This window comes from Homo sapiens, chromosome 11 (assembly GCF_000001405.40).
Source record: "Homo sapiens chromosome 11, GRCh38.p14 Primary Assembly".
Classification (NCBI taxonomy): domain Eukaryota; kingdom Metazoa; phylum Chordata; class Mammalia; order Primates; family Hominidae; genus Homo; species Homo sapiens.
In genome coordinates, this window is record NC_000011.10 from 35,593,661 (window position 1) to 35,613,664 (window position 20,004).

General features: G+C 43.1%; 1 annotated feature.

The window, feature by feature from the left end:
* Window positions 4,996–5,225: an enhancer, noted in NCBI's record as "active region_4624". NCBI's record gives its function as "activates an Ori minimal core promoter by ATAC-STARR-seq in GM12878 lymphoblastoid cells {active_cell/tissue: GM12878}" and the evidence as "EXISTENCE:reporter gene assay evidence [ECO:0000049][PMID:35858748]".

The following is a 20,004-nucleotide window of genomic DNA, read 5'->3' on the forward strand; positions in this document are numbered from 1 at the left end:
AGAGTATATGTTTCCTATTGCTGCCATAACAGATTGCCACAAACTTGGCGGCTTAAAATGAAACAAATTGATTATGTTATATTTCTAGAGGTCAGAAGTCTGAAATGGGTTCACTGGGCTAACATCAAGGTGTCAGCAAGGACACCTTGCTTCCTTCTGGAGGCTCTGGGGGTAAATCCTTTCTCTTGTGATTTCCAGCTGCCAGAGGCTCCATATATCCCTTGACTTATGACACTCTTCCATCTTCAAAGCCAGCAATGGCCAGCTGAGTCTTTCTCAGCCACTCTGACTTTTCTACCTTCCTTTTCCACATTTAAGGACCCTTGTGATTACATTGATCCCATCTGGATAATCCAGGATGCTCTCTCTATTTTAAAGTCAGCCGATTAACAACCTTAATTTCGTCTCCAACCTGCATTTCCCTTTGCCATATAACATAACATATTCACAGGTTCCAGGGATTAGGTCAGGGCATCAGCAATAGGAAACATATACTCTACTTTTCAATGGATCCTTAAATAATGGTCAATGGTTAAAGTGCCTTTCTAGTGCCTATGGAAGGCATTAGCATACACGATAGCAGCAGAATTCATAACTTTGGGGTGTGAGGGCATTATCTTATCTACCACAAATAGTGATCTCAGAAAGAGTAGCATCATACTACTCAGGAAAAATTAACGCTCAGTTCTTTTTTTTTTTTTTAGACAGGGTCTCTCGTTCTGTCACCCAGGCTGAGTGCAGTGGTGCGATCACAGCTCACTGCAACCTCAACCTCCAGGACTCATGGGATCCTCCCACCTCAGCTTCCCAAGTAGCTGGCACTCCAGGCATGCGCCACTATGCCTAGCTAGTTTTTTATTTTTTGTAGAGACAGAATTTCACTATGTTGCCCAGGCTGGTCTTGAACTCCTGGACGCAAGCAATCCTCTTGCCTCAGCCGCCCAAGGTGCTGGGATTACAAGCATAAGCTGCTGCAGCCAGTTACACCCAGTTCTTTACTTCCACCTCGCCTAACAGTTTCTAAGTGCTCTAAAAGTAGGGATAATAAGAAGTCATATTTCATGGTATGTTTTGGAGTTGATAATATAAGACAGACATGGAACCTTGTTGAAAACAAAATACATTTTATCTCTTGCTTCACTCTAATAGCCCTGTGAAGGCCAAGTTGACAGACTGTCCAGCTTCCCTCTCAATCATGTTGCCTGGAGACTGTCACCAATGCAGGCCTCATTGAGAGAGAAGCAATGTGTCTCAATCTGTCAGATGCTACAAGATTTCTGAAGGCAACGGCAGGGAGAGCACTCAACTTCCTGTTTCCATCGGTCTACTGAGTGGTGGGAAAGAAGTAGTACAGCAGCCTCCCTTGCCAGAAGCCAGAGAAGGAGATGGATGGATTAAATAATACAGAACTCTTCTGCCTGCTTGGCCATTTTCTTCTTGTAATTGAATGCTAAAAAGATGACTTAAAAAAAGAACAATTTGTCCCACAAAGGTGCATGCATATCTGTTAAACGGTACAAGACACAAAGGGTCATCCCTACAAATGTGATGTGCATTCATTCACTCTAGGCCCCATACCTTTAAAAAGTGAGAGTGTCCTTTCCCTACTCTATGTTTTTGTTTGCTTTGTTGAAGATTAGTTGGCTATAAGTATTTGGGTTTATTTCTGAGTTCTCTATTCTGTTCCATTGGTCTATGTGCCTATTTTTATACCAGTACCGTGCTGTTTTGGTGATATAGCCTTATAATATAGTTTGAAATCTGGTAATGTGATGCCTCCAGACTTTTTCTTTTTACTTAGTCTTGCTTTGGCTATGCAGGCTCTTTTTTGTTTCCATGTGAATTTTAGGATTTTTTTTTTCCAGTTCTGTGAAGAATGATGGTGGTATTTTGAGGGAAATTGCATTGAATTTGTAGATGGCTTTTAGCAGTAAGGTCATTTTCACAGTATTGATTCTACCCATCTATGAGCATGGAATATGTTTTCATTTGTTTGTGTCATCTGTGATTTCTTTCAGCAGCGTTTTGTAGTTGTCCTTGTAGAGGTCTTTTACCTCCTCAGTTAAGTATAGTCCTAAGTATTTTACTTATTTATTTTTTTGCAACTACTGTAAAAGAGGTTGAGTTCTTGATTTGATTCTCAGCTTAGCCACTGTTGGTGTATAGCAGAGCAACTGATTTGTGTACATTAAGCATGTATCCTGAAGCTTTGCTGAATTCATTTATCAGTTCTAAGAGCTTTTTGGAGGAGTCTTTAGTGTTTTCTAAGTATACAATCATATCATCAGCAAACAGTGTACAGTTTGACTTCCTCTTTACTGATTTGGATGCCCTTTATTTCTTTCCCTTGTCTGATTGCTCTGGCTAGGACTTTCAGTACTATGTTGGATAGAAGTGGTCAGAGCGGGCACCCAGTCTTGTTTCACTTTTCAGAGGGAATGCTTTCAACTTTTCCCCATTCAGTATTATGGTGGCTGTGGGGTTGTCACAGATGGCTTTTATTACGTTGAGGTATGTCCCTTGTATGTCGATGTTGCTGAGGGTTTTAATCATAAAGGAATGCTGGATTTTGTCAAGTGCTTTCTCTGCATCTATTGAGATGATCATGTGATTTTTGTTTTTAATTCTGTTTATGTGGTGTATCACATTCATTGACTTGCGCATGTTAAACCATCCCTGCAACCCTGGTATGAAACCCATTTGATCATCGTAGATTATCTTTTTTGTATGCTGTTGGATTCGGTTAGCAGGTATTTTGCTAAGTATTTTTGCATCTATGTTCATCAGGAATATTGGTCTATAGTTTCTTTTTTTTGTTATGTCCTTTCCTGGTTTGGGTATTAGGGTGATACTGACTTCATAGAGTGATTTAGGGAGGATTACCTCTTTATCTTGTGGAATAGTGTCAACAGGATTGGTACCAAGTCTTCTCTGAATGTTTGGTAAAATTCAGCTGTGAATCTATCTGGTCCTGGACTCTGTTTTTGGCAATTTTTTAAATCACCATTTCAACCTCACTGCTTGTTATTTGTCTGTTCAGTGTGGTGCTGGGATAATTGGCAAGCCACATGTAGGAAAATGAAACTGGATCTTCATATCTCACCTTACACAAAAATCAATTCAAGATGGATCAAGGACTTAAATCTAAGACCTGAAACAGTAAAAATTCCAGAAAACCCCTTTTAGACATTGGCTTAGGCAAAGATTTCATGACCAGGAACCCAAAAGCAAATGCAACAAAAACAAAAATAAATAGGTGGGGCTTAATTAAAGAGCTTTTGCACAGTAAAAGAAACAGTCAGCAGAGTAAACAGACAACCCACAGAGTGGGAGAAAATCTTCACAATCTATACATCTGACAAAAGACTCTACAGGAATTTTACGAGGAATCTACGAGGAACTCAAACAAATCAGCAAGAAAAAACAAACAAACAATCCCATCAAAAAGTGGGCTAAGGACATGAATGGACAATTCTCAAAAGAAGATATGCAAATGGCCAACAAACATATGAAAAAATGCTCAGCATCACTAATGATCAGGGAAATGCAAATCAAAATCACAACGAAATACCACCTTACTCCTGCAAGAAGGACCATAATCAAAAAATTAAACAACAATAGATGTTGGCGTGGATGCTGCGAAAAGGTAACACTTCTTTTTTTTTTATTTCTTTTTTTTAAACAGAGTTTTGCTCTTGTTGCCCAGGCTGGAGGGCAATGGTGCAGTGTTGGCTCACTGCAACCTCCGCCTCCTGGGTTTAAGCAATTCTCCTGTCTCAGCCTCCCAAGTAGCTGGGACTACAGGCACCCACCACCACACGGGGTTAATTTTTGTATTTTTAGTAGAGATGGGGTTTCAGCAACACTGCTGATGGGAATGTAAACTAGTACAACCACTGTGGAAAACAATGTGGAGATTCCTTAAAGAACTAAAAATAGAACTACTCTTTGATCCAGCAATCCCATGACTGGGTATCTACCCAAAGGAAAAGAAGTCATTATACAAAAAAGATACTTGCACATGCATGTTTATAGCAGCACAATTCACAATTGCAAAAATGTGGAACCAGCCCAAATGCCCATCAACAACTGGATAAAGAAAATGTGAGATATATGTGTGTGTGTGTTTGTGTGTGCGCGTGTGTGTGTGTGTGTAGGAATACTACTCAGCCTCAAAACCTATAATTGAGGATAATAATAAATACCTATTCATAGCCTCCTGTAGCAGATTGTTACATTGATTGTCCACAGTGAATCCCATCTTCCTGTATCCATACCCTTGCTAGCTCCCTTCCACTGATGCTGGGCTTGGCCATGAGCTCTGCTTTGCCAGTGGAACATCACCAAATGAGACATCAACAGAGGTGGATAAGTGCCTGTATATTGGGGCTTGCCCTCTTAATATACTGCCACTACCATGAAAGAAACCTAAGATATCTTGGTGTAGAAGCTACCACCTAGATACTCCAGCTAGCAGCCCCACCTACTCACTTACTGCAGAGCCCAAGGCCCTCCATCATCTTGCCCCGCCTGCTTCTCCAACCCCTTCCTCCTCCCCTCCCCATCTCTTTCCTCCTCTCTTTCTATTCACACTAACCTTCCTTCTGACCCTCAAACCTGGCAGATTTGTTCCCATCTCAGGGCTTTTGCCCTTGATGATCTTTCTGCTTGGAAAACTTCCCCCAAAAATTCATACATAGCTGTCCTTTTTCTCTCATTGAGGGCTCTGTTTATTGTCACCCCCTGCTACCGCCTTCTCTGACCTGCCTAGCTAAAACAGCCCCTCCCATATGCAGTCACTCTACATCACAGTACCTATTTTATCTTCTTGATGGCTCTTAGACACACCTTAAGTTATTTGTGTCTGCTTGGGATGTCTACTCCTACTGAAAGGGGACCCCTTGGGCACAGGGACTCTTCTTTGCTTACTGCTGTTTCCCAGCCTGGCACACTGCCTGGCTCTTAATAGGTACTCACAAAATATAGATTGACTAACAGACAAGTAGATAGCAGAGCTGGCACTCAAACCTGGGCAACCAACTGTTCCCCAGTTGCTGAGGGGTTTTCCAGGATATGTGACATTCAGTGCTAACACTGGGAAAGTCCCTGGCAAACCAGAAAAGTTGGTCATGCTAACTCAAACCCAGTTCTTCTAACTCTGGCCAGTGTTTCTTCCTCTGCCCCACCCCTGGGATTCTAGGACATCTCATGTAAAGTCAGAGACCTCATGCTTTACAACAGTGCCTGACACAAAGCAGGCAAATGACAAATATGTGTTGGATAAATGAATGGATGAAACGAATGAGTGAATGACCTGGCTCCCGTAAGTAGAAGCCAAACAGAATCTCCCTGTGTCAGCTTGTTTGAACCATGTGGCCTGGGTACTCTGCAGCATCATTCTGTGGGTATAACTAGTCATCTCAATATCCTAAGTTGTGAGCTATAATAAAGTCTTCAGGCAGTCCCCAGTTCATGTCTTTTGTTTACTCCACCCTCTGGCTGCTGGTTCTCAGCTATAGCTGCATTGAAGGGGCTTGGACACAAACAAAGAATCCAGAAAACTGATTCAGATACATTGGAATATTTTTTTCTCCTTGGAAATTTTTTTGCTTCTCGTTAGAATTTGTTGATAAACCCTGCAGTCCTGCACATGGGGATGGAAAACGGAGTGGATGCACAAAGGTAAGTTATGATGGCCTGATGGCCCCTTCTTAGCTGCAGCATGGAGCCACGAGAGTGGAAGAAGGCAAGTGAACATGCCCATGCTACAGTGGAACAAGTCTGGAACTTAACTGGGGAGGGGCAGAGAACAAAACAGACTGCTCTGGTAATCAGGTTCTGAGCCGAAAGGCAAGGAACAGTCTCCCCTCTGCAGTACACAAAAATACATGTTCAAGGCCTCAGAGTTTCTGCAGCTGCAGAGAGGATGGCTTTGGAACCCAAATGACCTGAGTCAAACTCTCAGCTCTGCAATTAACATATCAGTCACCCCTCTCTATCTGTGGGTTCTGTATCCATGGATTCAAAACTAAATGCAGATCTGAAATATTGGAGGAAAGATAAAAAATAATAAGACAGCAATTAAAAATATAAATTTTAAAATACAGTATAACAACTATTTTCATAGCATTTGCATTGCACTAGACATAAGCAACCTAGAGATTATTTAAAGAATACAGGAGGATGTGTGTAGGTTAGACACAAATACTACACCATTTTATGTAAGAGAGTTGAGCATCTGTGGATTTTGGTATCCACAGGGATTCCTGGAATCAATCCCCTGTGAACACCAAGGGACTGACTATACATATGTGACCTTCAGCAGATTATTTAACCCCTCCAAGTCTCAGTTTCTTCATCTGTAAATTGAGATTGTTGTGAGAACTGGAGATAATGGATGTAAAGCAATTGTCACGTAAGAGGCACTGATAAACAGTGGCTGTCTTTCTCATCATTACGTTAAAAGTTTATAACCAAGGGAGAGTTACTTGAGCCAAGGATAGTAGGTGGCTCTGTCCCTGGATAATGAACAATTATCAATGCAGTTATGCTTTAGGGGCTGGCTTTGGCATCCTCACGGTGAGGTGAGAGTCATGAGGCTGGTGGTTTAGGATGCTCGCAACATCGCCTGAGTAAACCCTTCCCCACCCTCCAGCACTAATTCCTGACTTTCATTTCAATTTAATAGATTTGGGTTTAACAAGATAATTATTATACTTGAAATAAATACTGACTGGCCAGAAATGCAATGCTTACTGCAAATTAGGAACAAAGAGGCCTCCTCAGTTACATCTCTGGTATATCTTAAACACAGCTTTTGAATAATTAATTTGCCATTTCGATAACACATAATAACCAGCCTATTAAGCCAAGAATCTTGCATTTATTAAATGCTAACTTAATGGCAAACAAACAAAACCTGAGTCAATAGTTGCTTTGCCAAATTTAAAAGCTCTCCTCCCTGAGGATTTGTGTGGGAGGCAGACCACATGGTTGGGGCGTGTGGATCTTAGGAGCAGGCAGTAGGAAACTGAAGGTGCATGCAGGAGGATATTCAAAACTCAGACTCTGCTCAGGTGGGAGGATATTACTAGGATCGTCTGGGGTAAGTGCCAAAGGAACCACCTGGATTTTCCACCAACGCTGTACCAAAGCCATAACATGTGTTTTTTGTTTGGGTTTTCTGAATGTTCTTAATGCCTGAAGATGGGGTCGGGTGCAGTGGCTCGCACCTGTAGTCCCAGGACTTTGGGAGGCCGAAGCAGGTAGATCACTTGAGCCCAAGGGTTTGAGACCAGCCTGGGCAACATGGCAAAACACCGTCTCTGCAAAAAAAATTAAAAATTAGCCAGGCGTAATGGCATGCACCTGCAGTCCCAGCTACCTGGGAGGCTGAGGCAGGATAATTGCTCTATCCCAGGAGGTTGAGGCTGCAGTGAGCCATGATGGTGCCACTGCACTCCAGCCTGGATGACAGAGCAAGACCCTGTCTCAGAAAAAAAAATGTTGAAAATGGTAGGGATCCCAATATTAGGATCTTTCAATCAAGAATAATTTAGAACTAAAGAATACAGCCCTTGTTGTAGTTAACTACACAGTACAGATGCGAACAATATGGGTTTCAATGAGGAAACAATTAGGATGTTATTGATTGCATATGAAAGCAACTCCAATTCCAAACAGTTTATACATTAAGAAAATTAGTTCTCACCCACAGGAAATTCAGAAATATATAGGCTTCTCCGTTGGGATTAAACCAAGCTGCATATAAAAGAAAACATTAAGTAACAGTAGCTTATGTAAGTTAGAAATTGCTAGCTTACATAGAGAAAGTGCTGTATTTCTCTCACATAAAAGAAGCCCAGAGAAAAACATTCAATAGCTGGTATGGCAGGACCCACACTCTCAGCACTACCATCTTCAGTATACGACTTGTATTCTCAAGTTAGCTTCATGGTCACATATTGGCTGCCATTATTCTAGCCATCATGCCCACCTTCCAAGAAGCAGGAAAGTAAAGAAAGTTAGGGCAAAAAGCCACATAACTTCCATTGACAAGGAAATCTAGAAAATGTGGTTTTATATCTGGGTACATTACTATACTTATCAATATAGATTTGGTGTTACTAAAGGAGAATAGAATGCCCACTGGAAAAGCAAGTCGCAGTTTCTGCTGCTGTAGGCTTCTAGGATGGGTTATTTAGTGACTCAGTCCAATCCTAAAGGACCCAGATTCTCTCCATCCCTGCACTTCAATCTTGGGTATTGACCTCACCCTCAGATTTGGTGGCAAATGGCTGTGCAGCAGTTGCAAATGTCCCATCCAGATGCAATAAAACCAGAGGAAGATGAAGGAAACTCCTCCCATAGCACTCCCTCAGAAGTGAGAACACTTTTCTCAGAATCTCATCAGCAGATTTCTAATGGTCAAAATTAGATCAGGGGAAAAGGCAGCCTTTCCTTTGGAGGTGAGGGTGAGCACATATTCCTTAAAGCACATAGCTTCATGGGGGAGAGTGGGATAACTGGTCAAATTTAGGGTCTGTGAGAAAGGAAGAGGGAGGTGGGAGCTGGATGTTGGATGCAAAGACCAACTCCACCATATTCTAGCTTTGGACCTTGCCACGGACTTAATACCTCCAAGCTGGAGGTATTGAGCTGCCTTCTCTGTTAATGACTAACTTGTAGGGTGTTGTAAGGCTAGAGTGAGATGTGTGTCACATATGTGTGTGTGTGTAATTTTACAGTTCTATAGATATGAGCTGTTCCATGCTCTTGCAACACAAGTAATGCTATAGGTCTTTATTTCTCTAATAAAATGGAAGCTGCTCAAACTCCCATACACGAGATTGGAAGGAAGTTCAGTTACTGCACTCTAGAGACTTCTCTTCTCTGGGGCTTATAGAGCCCAGAAAAGAGGTTTGTCAAACTGCCACTTTCCCACCAGGATGCTTCCGGAATCACTTGGCCTCCTGTTTCTTTTGCTGTTACTGCTTCTCACTACTTCCTAGCAACTAAAATTAAAAATACTTCTTGTAACAACGATTGAGAATGCCCTCTGTGTCATGCACTCCAAGTGCTACAAATAAACGAACTTGTTCAATGACACCAGAGCCCCTCTGGGTCTGTGGCCCTCCACATGTCTGCTGCTGCCGCTCCATGCTGCCATGGGGTGCCACTCCCCAGCTCCCTGTCTTGTCATGCCAAGACAGCCTTTGAAAGACTGAAAGGCTTTGAAAGTGTCTCCTTCACTGATTCACTCCCACAAAACCACATAAAATCCTGGAGGCCCCTTGTCTAGCACTTCAGGACTTTGGTTTTACATGCCCAGTTTTCTCAGGCACTCTCATGATTATTCTCCTCTACAGCCCCCAGCCTAGAGCCCACTCACTGTCTTGCTTCTGTTTGGGAAATCTTCTACCCCTCTTGGATAATTTCCTACTTCAACTTTATCCACTCCCCCATACACCTACAAACACCAGTCATGCCTGCTTTATTATCCTAAACTAGAGCCTGACAGCTACCTAATATCCCCTCCACACACACCCGCATTGTGTATCTGCCATATGGGTGAGATATGGTGATCCCACCACCACTGCCCCCATAAGTATGCTTTGCTCAGATAACCTAAGCCAATCAACATTCTCCAGTCAAAGGGATTCAGTCAAGTATCAGCATGAGACGCAATTTGAATGGGTGAGAACGGACCTGAGCTTTTTCAAGGAACTTCTAGGGGCAAAAAATATTTCTCTATCTCCTTCTAGATAATGTGTAAGTAAAGGCTGGAACTGCTGCATCCATTTTGCCACCATGAGGAAGCCAGGCTGCTGCTGTATGAAAAGCATAACAGGAAGCTTGAAAGAAACTAGCGCTGGATGACATTGGTGAGCCCTTAAATCAACCCAACCCAGAAGACCTTCTAGGTACTTGTACCTTAAATCTATCTCCTATATTGTTTAACCAATCTGGAAGTGAGATTCTTATAGTTTAAAAAAAAAAAAAAAAACAAGACTTAAGTGACCCAATGAGGCATCCAGAAATGGCCCAGACCTTAGAAAGGCCTTAATTCCCTAAGGCTGGGATAAGAACACCCCAGGTCAAGGGAATAATATGAGAAATACTGCCCTAACCGAGGACCTAATTAGACTTCTAAAGGAGTTCAGCCTGAACCTAAAAGAAAGGATGCTTAAGGCCAGGCGCGGTGGCTCACGCCTGTAATCCCAGCACTTTGGGAGGCCAAGACGGGCGGATCACGAGGTCAGGAGATCGAGACCGTCCTGGCTAACACGGCGAAACCCCGTCTCTACTTAAAAAATACAAAAAAAAATAGCCGGGCGTGGTCGCGGGCGCCTATAGTCCCAGCTACTGGGAAGGCTGAGGTAGGAGAATCGCGTGAACTCGGGAGGCGGAGCCTGCAGTGAGCCGAGATGGCGCCACTGCACTCCAGCCTCGGCGACAGAGTGAGACTCCGTCTTAAAAAAAAAAAAGAAAGGACGCTTAAATGAAGGAACTCATTCATTTGTCCATCCATCCACCACCGACCCACCCATTCACTGATAATTAGAATTCTAGCTCCTTTAGATCCCTCCATAGGTCGGCACCAGTATCTAGGCTCCATCCTCATGCAAACAGTGCCACTTTGCAAGCCTTAAACAAATGCAGGTGATACCCCTGGCCCCTGGTTTTTAATGGCACTCAACTCCCCTCCCTTCCTTTCCATCTCCACTGCTGCCACCCAAGCCCACACCCTTGCTACCTTAATTCCAGCTCCATTGGGGCAACTTCTTAACAGTCACCTATCTATCTGCCTTTTGACCATCTGATGCCATAAAGCATGAATTATTCATTTAAGAGCATTCCCTTGATCATTTCAGTCTGCTCAAAAATATATGCTGAGTATAATGAATTTAGATAGATGTCCAGGAATATAAGAAATTTTTTGAAAAAGAAAAAGAAGAAAGTCCTTTCTCTTCAAATTTCCTTTTCCCAAGGTAAGGTATGTCAACAGTTAGATATGTATCCTCTCAGACTTTTTTCAAGGAATAAATATATTTTTTACTTTTCTTTTTCAACAAAGCACACTATAGCTTTATAAAAGTTACTATAGTACAAGAGAGGGACTGCCCTGAGATCACATAAAAAACCATCCCTACATGATTCCTTAGGGCCACATTCACTCAAAATAATGGAAGTTTAAACTCAACTGCCCTTCTGGGGGAGCACTCTGAACACAATTGGAATACAACTCTAATTTTGTTGCTGTGATATTTCTGTTGTTACATTCTCCACTGACTTAATTAGTGCATGCTATTGTCTGACACAATGTCACTTTTACTCCAGTTATAGCCAGAGGCAGTTAGCACAAAATTCACAATATTTTAAATTCCAATAAAACTATCCCGCCTAATGGTCCTGTTTCAGCAACTTTAGAGGGTAGAACACCAGCATCTGAAGCTGCAAATGCGAAAAAAAAGCTTTCCATGGTGTCTCAGAAAGAGTACTCCTCAGAGGGTCCATGGCTGGGCATGAACTCCTGAGAGTTCCTGGTGCTTTGTTCTCCCAAACCATACACAAAAGAGCTGACTCAAAGGCTTGGCTTAAAATGATGTTAATACCATGCTGGTTCTGGGAGCAAATATTATATCATAATTTCCAATCTGTTGTAGTCAAGACTATGACTACTCAACAGTTCTGTGACCTGTCCCAGAGCAGCCAGGGATGGGTACCAAAGCTGCCAGTCTTGGGTCCTTTCAAGCTAGCTTTCCAATACAGATGGGTGGTCAGGACCGGGTGACCTGAAGACACACTGGCCCAGGTTTGAATCTGGCCTTAGCATTTAAGAGTCCTATCATCTTAAGCAATTTACAAGTCTCTGAAGCTTGGTTTGCTCATCTGTAAATGGGGCTTATAAAACCCACCTGAAAGGGTTTGTGAGGCTATGTGAGCTGCCTGGCATGTAGCAAGACTCGGTAACTGGTATCCGTTATTAGTCTATCCCTGGTTGTTAGAGATGTGACTTCTGCCTTCCAATAAGTAATTTCTGATCTCTTCCCCAGCAACTGCCCAACTCCACTTCCAAAGAAAAAAAAAACAAATCACAAGGAATGGGTGGGCGGCAGAGGGCAGGATTTATTGCCACTAGAAAGGACTCTTACAGGCTGACCGGAGGGGAGCTAGCTGAGCAAGTCCTCTGTGGCGCAGATGTTGCCAGGAAGCATTACAGAGAACACAGAACATTCCTCCTCCCCCCCTAAACTGGCTAAGCTCTCTGCTTCTCACTTTATCCTCAACCTCTTGGGCCTTGGCTGGGTGCCTCTTTGCTGGGAAACACGGATGGTCCACATAGAAAATGCAGTCTGGATTTGAGCTCGCCTTAGAAAAGCCCTAAATCAGTCTGCCCCAGGGCAATGACATGTTTGTCTCTCTCTCTGTCTTTCACACACACACGCACATGCACACACATATGCACACGTACAGATTATACTTTGTGTGCCTTCTGTATGCTTCATATTCTCTGCCTCCCAAATGACAGCTGTAAAATGACAGCTAGTGATAGAAAAATCAAAAGATCCTCTATTACTTTTCTTTACCCTAATAAAGGTCTCAAATTCCCTTTCTAACCGGAGGGGCAGCACTAAAACAAATTTATGGAAATTCTGGATCTGGTAACCATTGGAGTCAAGAAGACAAGTGTTGTTATTGTTGTGTGGGTGTGTTTGCCATCATAATCAACATTTATTCAGACCCAGGGCAGACGTGTCACTGCGATGTATCACCAAGCACATGAATGATGAATCCTGCTGGTTCCTTGTAAAAGGATGCATAAAACACATTTTGTCGAGATCTTACAGTATAGCTCTACTTGCTTTATCCATTGTTAGAGGTTTCACGTTATTATTTTCAAAGAAATGCAAGATTATAACTTTTTAAAAAAATCAAACAACACAAAATTGTTGGGATGGACATGTGCAGAATCACAGTCCAGCACAGAACTGTTCCCTTACATACTAAAGTCTGGATGAGCCGATGCTGGAAACCTGGTCCTAAAATAGACTAATCAGATTCCTCCTTCCTGGAATATTAAAGCTTGAATGGAAGGTGCCTGTAGCTGAGACATCTTATACCCACAACCCTTGATCAAAGGCGCTCCTGTTTACATACCCAGGGCCGCCAATTCTGGTGTTTGCTGGTGCCATTGATGCTTCTATTGATGCTGTTACTAGTAGTGAGTATAAATTTTGCAATCAACCTGGGCACAGTGGCTCATGCCTGTAATCCCAGGAGTGAGAGGCCAAGGTGGGAAGATCGCTTGAGCCCAGGAGTTCAAGACCAGCCTGGGCAACAAATTGAGACCACGTCTCTACAAAAAAATTAAAAACTTAGCTGGGCATGGTGGCATGTGCCTGTACTCCCAGCTACTTGAGAGGCTGAGGCTGGAGGATCCCTTGAGCCCAGGAGTTCGAGGCTGCAGTGAGCTATGATTGCTCCACTGCACTCCAGCCTGGGTGACAGAGCGAGACCCTGTCTCAAAAGAAAGCCACAAAAAACAGATTTCACAATCACACAGACAGATGTACAAAAATGTCACATTAGTACTCTCTATCTGATCATAACTCTTAACGTGAGCATCCACACATCCATTAATACTTACATATCATTCCCACAATGAGTTATAAAGTAAAAACGTATGCAGTATAAAAGTGAAAGTGCCCCCCACACACAAACATCTTCTTGGGAGTAATGCCATTAACAGGTTAGTGTGTGTCCTCCAAGACATTCTGTGCAGCTTCATGTGTGATTTTTAATATTTATTGAGTGCCTACTATATGCCAGAAACTGCATTATAACTTTTCACTTGCTCTAATCCCATAATCTCATTGAATTCTTGTAATACTTCCGCAAGGCAAGCATTAATATCCTATTTTTACAAATGAGAAAACCAAGGTGGGAAGACTTCTATAGTCCAGCTACTCTCACTTATCCTAAAAAGCCATGCAGACCTGTTGTCACCCCTAACTAAATGGCCCTCCCAATGGGGAGAGATGAAGACAAAGTTTAACATCATGCTTTGATCTGCTGACTTGATTTTGCCCTGAGTGAGAGGGGGTATCATGCACAGGAGCAGAAAAACAGGAGGAAGCTTTTTGCTTGTTACCATTTCCTGTTAACTATCTCAGAGTTGTTGTATAATCTTTTTCCCCCAAAAAAATTTCACTCAGCAAATAAGTCAATAATCAGTGATTACCTGCACTTTCTTTCTCTGACTTCTTTGGTTAGCTCTTCTGCTTATTGAAACAGGTAAGCAGAGAAAAGTATTTAAAAATAATCTCTCTCTCTTTTCCCTAACTTTTCTTGCTCATTTTCCTTCCCCACTTCCTTTCTTTCATAAGTGCTAGTAACAGAGATAGAAGAGTCCAACGCAGGCAGGTCACTTGAGGCCAGGAGTTCAAGACCAGCCTGACCAACACGGTGAAACCCTGTTTCTACCAAAAAAAAAAATACAAACATTAGCAGGGTGTGGTGGCACATGCTTGTAGTCCCAGCTACTTGGGAAGCTGAGGCATGACAATCACTTAAACCAGGGAAATGGAGGTTGCAGTGAGCCGAGATCACACCACTGCACTCCAGCCTGGGTGATGGAGCAAGACTCTGTCTCAAAAAAGAGAGAGAAAGCACCATGGAATGGGAAAGGAGTGTCTAAATATTCTAGCTTTTTAGCAATCCTTGGTTTCTTTTTTCTGTCCTCATTATTGGAGTTTTAGCAGCCATTGTAACATACAGGTAACATGCACCTGTAACTATGTGGAAAACATGAGATAGAGATAGAATCTGCAGATGTGAGTCACACTGGGCAAAGACGGAGTGTCCTGTAAAACCTCTGAGGTGAAACTCAGGTAAAGTGCATTCATGTTCTTGGTGTGTCAGGAACTAGCTGAGAACCTAGGGCTCATCACGCAACTCTCTGAAGCTCAGCTTTCTTCTTCATCAGTAGGAACAGTAACTAACCCCTGCCTTACTACCCCTCCCTAGCAGGTTGTTTTGAAAACCCAATGAGATCAGCCTGTGAAACTGCTCGGCCAAACTGCAAGGAGCTAGATAATAACCATTGTTATTCCTCAGCTTTTGTCCTGCTATTCCTCAGGCCGAGATTGTAAAATGTAGCCATTTTTTAAACTCAAGCAGCAAGAAGTGGCCTTTAAAGTTTCTTTCTTCTTTTATTCTTCAGGTGAAATGAAAGGGAAGGAGACATTCAGCATCAAGTCTCAATGTGTGGTGTGAAACAAACACACCCAGCCCCACAGAGGCATCTTCCCTGGGGCAATCTCAGAGTTTGCTCATGGGAGGGGCAAAACCAGAGGAGAAATGACAGCAGGTGTTCTTGCATTGCCATTCTTGTCCAGGCTGATCTGCTCCCCAGACAGAGACAGTGCCATTTCCAGGATTGCCAGGCCAACCCTCCTCTTTCTGGATCAATCACATCCCACTCAATAAGGTATTAATCCTGTGGAGCTTTCTGTACTGCAACGTACCTCCCAGTAAATGGGCTTGGGCTTAATCATTCAGCAGAGATGAGGATGCAGGTAGTACCTATATCAAACAGCCTTGAGAAAGACGACGTGCAGGTACTAAGGAGAGAGGCAATTCCCCTGTAAGAGTCCCCTTTGCTAATTCACCAGTGTTTCTCAGCCCCAGGAAGCCAAGTGGCATTGTAGTTAACATAACCTTGGTCTTTTGGCAGACAAGAGTTGGGGTTCCTCTTTTACCCAATAGCAGAAGTCTTCTGGTCTGAGGCTTACTCTAATGATGCTCCTTTTTCCCATGAATGAAATGGGAAAATAAGATCTTGCGGTGTTGTGGGAGGATCTTAAAGATTAAGTGCTTGGAAAACTCTCAGCACACTGCCTGACGTGTAGAAAGTATGCTGAAAATGTTAAATTGTGTCTACCAGAAATCCCTTCAGGGACCCCCCAATTTGATCCCTAGAAAAACCTTGACCTGAACTAGAAGCTGAGATCCTGAATGGATCCTGAATGGGAGTAGCCCTGTTTTACATGATGTAAGAGGAAAGTTTCACCTGTTTCCCCACACGGGCGGGAGAGAGAAAGGAAAGAGAAGACAGCTGCATGGATGAAGACCTTGCGCAGTGCAGTGACCTCTCCTCAGCGAGCCCCACCAGATCTTCAGGAAAGTCAATGAACTCATGATATCTTGGTCCAAATGCAGGCGGGGGGGTGGTTAAGGCAGTGAACTTCACACCCATGCTGATGTGTGTTGGAGCCAAAGTCACAACTGTGAAAGCAGGAAGTGGACACAGACAGAAGTTTGAGGCACAAAGCTCCAGGGACTCTCAGGAACAGGGGAAAGTCTTTGAACCTCCCTGCCACCGAGACCATACAATAGGAATACAAATAGGAATTTAGGCTAAGTCCAATTGGATCTCAAAAAAGCAGGTGGCTTCAACTGACAACAGGGTACATCATTATTATCATCATGATCATCACCATCACTGCCATCACCAACATCATCAAATGATGTTGTCTGCCTATGGAATGCAAAAAGCTGATTTTCGGCAACCAAAGCTAGGGCCCTGGAAGCTAACACATTCTTAACCAGGGCTGCATTACCTAAGAACTTCTGTTTTTTCACTCACCTGATTGTGGAAATATCAAACTACCTCTACGCTCACTATTCCCCATCAGTGAGTGTCTGTAAGTTATCCCTTGCCTTTTCCTACTCTTGCCAGCCATTTTTCAGTCCAGCAGCAATGGCTTTTCCTGGGTCTGGAAGTCTCCTGGTCTCCCACTTAGGTGACTCACTATTCCGAAGCCACTTTTCTGCACTGCAGTAAGCCCCCAGTTACAAATTACTTACCTGCTGGCCATCATTTTAATGTAAATGGATTTTAAAAAGCAGCAAAGGAATATATTTTCATTTGGAGTTAAAGCATCCATTTTTTATTTGAGTGTGAGCCTGGTCTAGGAGAGATGGCAGAAGAATGGCTCCAAGGCTAATATGGTTAATGATTATGATGGAGATCCCATGAGCAGCCGATATTTCACTTGCAACCATCTCGATCCGGGCTTTGCTGGCTGCAGTACTTTCTTTTTTTCACAGCTACTTCCATTAACACCCACCGCCTATGATAGAACCATTATGATAATATCTCTGCTTTCGGCAGCCTCAATTGGTCTTGACACATTATCACCCTAAGAGCTTAGCCACGTCGCACTAAGTCCTATTTATAATAACCCTTGGCAGGAGCTACCAAAATAAAACCTGGTACTTATGAACTACCTTTCATCTGAGGAAATCAGAAAGCTTTACAAGCTTAATTAAGCTTCAGCATCTATCTGACTGATGAGATATGTGGGGCCTTGGAAAGCTGAGGAGGCACAGAATCACTAATTGTGCACTGGATAAATCTCTGGGTGGCAACGAAGAATAGAAATCAACAAAGAAGAACGAGAGTCACCTCTTTTAGTGGGAGTGTTTGTTGAGTGAATTTTTTCAGGGTGGGTTGAGACCAACAATCATAGGTTATTGATGAAGGGGCCATGGAGGGTCTCTAATGAGGTGGCTCTCAATCTAGGGCGGGGGCCTGAGATTTACTTCTTTTGCCAAAAGAGGATTAAGCTAATTCAACACACTCAAGGGCTTTCAAGGACAAAGAAATTGAGCTCCTGAAAGATGTGGTAATCTGCCTGTGGGCACACAGCTGTTGAGCTCACACACTGTTCCCTCTACTTGGCTGAATCTCCCACCCCACCTGTAAATCTCCACTTCCCCTTCAAGACTCATCTTAACACCTGCCTCCTCGGTGAAGCCTTCCTGGACTTCCCTGGCAGAATCAGTCACTCCCTATTCTATGCTCCTGCGTGTGCTTTCTATTTCCATAATATCTACAGCAATTGATATTTATTGAGTCCTTTCTAAGTGCTTAAGGTACATTTTATCCATACAATAATGAGGCAGGTACAGTTACCATCTCCATTCTACAGATGAGTTAAGTGGTCCGGAGAGGCTAAGTGATTTTCCCAAGATGGTACAGCTCATAGGTGCAAGACTCAGCCTGGCTGCAGAGCACATGTTCCAAAACATTAAACCACACTACTTTCCCAGTAGCCCAGTTGTGATGGAAGAGATCTGTTTGTTTATAAGTCAGCCTCCTTCCTTAGTTTGTAAGCTCTGATGTGAAAGGGTATGTCATTCAGGAGAATTTGGGCTGCAAACAACAGAAACCCCAACTCAGAGTAGCTTAAACCACAGGAAATCTAGAGGAAGGGCATTTCCAGAGTTGATTAACTTGGGGGCTTGGTGACATCAGCAAGGATCCAGGTTCCTTCCATCTCTCTACTCTGCCTTCCTGATTGTGTGAACGTAGTTCCCCTTGCATTAACATGACTTCCTCAGTTCCAGGCCTCCCATCCAGCCTGAACCATGCAGAAAAGGTGCCATATCTTTCTTGTGTCTCTGTAAGAGTACAGACAACTTTTCCAGAAACCTTCCACTGGGCTTCCCCCGTAACATTCACTAGCCAGAATGGTCTCACATGCCTAAGCCTTAACCAGTCACTGCAAGGAATTGAAAGCACCATGACTGGTTCAGCCCAAACAGGATTCAGCATCCCTTAAAGGTTAAAGGCACAGAGGATGAAGGTAGAGACCTGCCAAAAAGGAGGAAGGGAAGGCGGAGGATGAAAAGAAGACAACAAACGTTCCCTGATGCAGGTGTGAAGGAAGATCTGATGCCCAATCACTTATTCCTCAGTCCTTTGGCCTTTACCATGTGGGCAACAAATGTCTGTGGAACTAAATTATAGTAGAGAAATTCATGTCTCCAAATGCCCAGTCCAGAATTCTTACCATCATACTCTGTAACCAGGACTGAAATATGTGTTGGCGACTGCTCTAAAATTTACTAAATTGATTCACCGGTGCTCCAACCTTTAGATTCGAGTCTTTAACACTAGTGTCTGCAGGAACCTTTGCAAAGCAGGTCCAAAAGAGAGCTAGGTGGAATAAAGAGAATCGTAAAAATGTGTCTCATCACAATTTACAAGGTTCTTGTCAACCATGACTTTCTTTCCAGAAACACAATGTGTTCTTAAAAGTGGGACTTGTTCAAGCAGATAGGTTCATTGCATTCAAAGACTACTCTATTTCCTGACCTCCTTCTAGCTCTCCAGTAGGATTTATCTGGAACCAGGCATCAATATACCCACCCTTGACAGCCAAGAATGTGAGAATGAGATCAGTTAAGCAATTTTTGGAAGACCCAGATCATAGTCAAATAGAGATACCAAGAAAAGGAAACTGATCCTCAAGCAGAAACATAATGTACCCTAGGGTAGAAAAGACGGGAAGGAGGGAATGGCTTAGTTCAGGCTTACTATAACAGAGCGCCATTGGCTGGGGTAGTTTAAACAACAAACATTTGAGCGGGCGCAGGGGATCACACCTGTAATCCCAGCACTCTGAGAGGCCAAGGCGGGGGGATCATTTGAGGCCAGGAGTTTGAGACCTGCCTGGCCAACATGGAGAAACCCCATCTCTACCAAAAATAAAACTAAAAATAAAAAAAATTAGCCGGACGTAATTGTGGTGGCACACACCTGTAATCCCAGCTACTCGAGAGGCTGAGGCAAGAAAATTGGCTGAGGCAAGAAAATCAGTGTAGGTTGCAGTGAGCCGAGATTGTGCCACTGTACTCCAGCCTGGGTGATAGAGCAAGACTCTGCCTCAAAAAAAAATATATAGATAGATACATAGATAGATAGATGATAGATAGATAGATAGATAGATAGATAGATAGATAGATAGAGATATCTATCTATCTATCTACATATAGAGAGAGAGAGACAGAGAGAGAGAGGTTGGGAGGTCCAGGATCAAGGTGCCAGAAGACTGGGTGTCTAGTGGGGCTACTCTTCCTTGCTCATAGGCAGCGGTATTCTTTCTGGGTCCTCACATGATGAAAACAGAGCTGGAGAGCTTACTGGGGTCT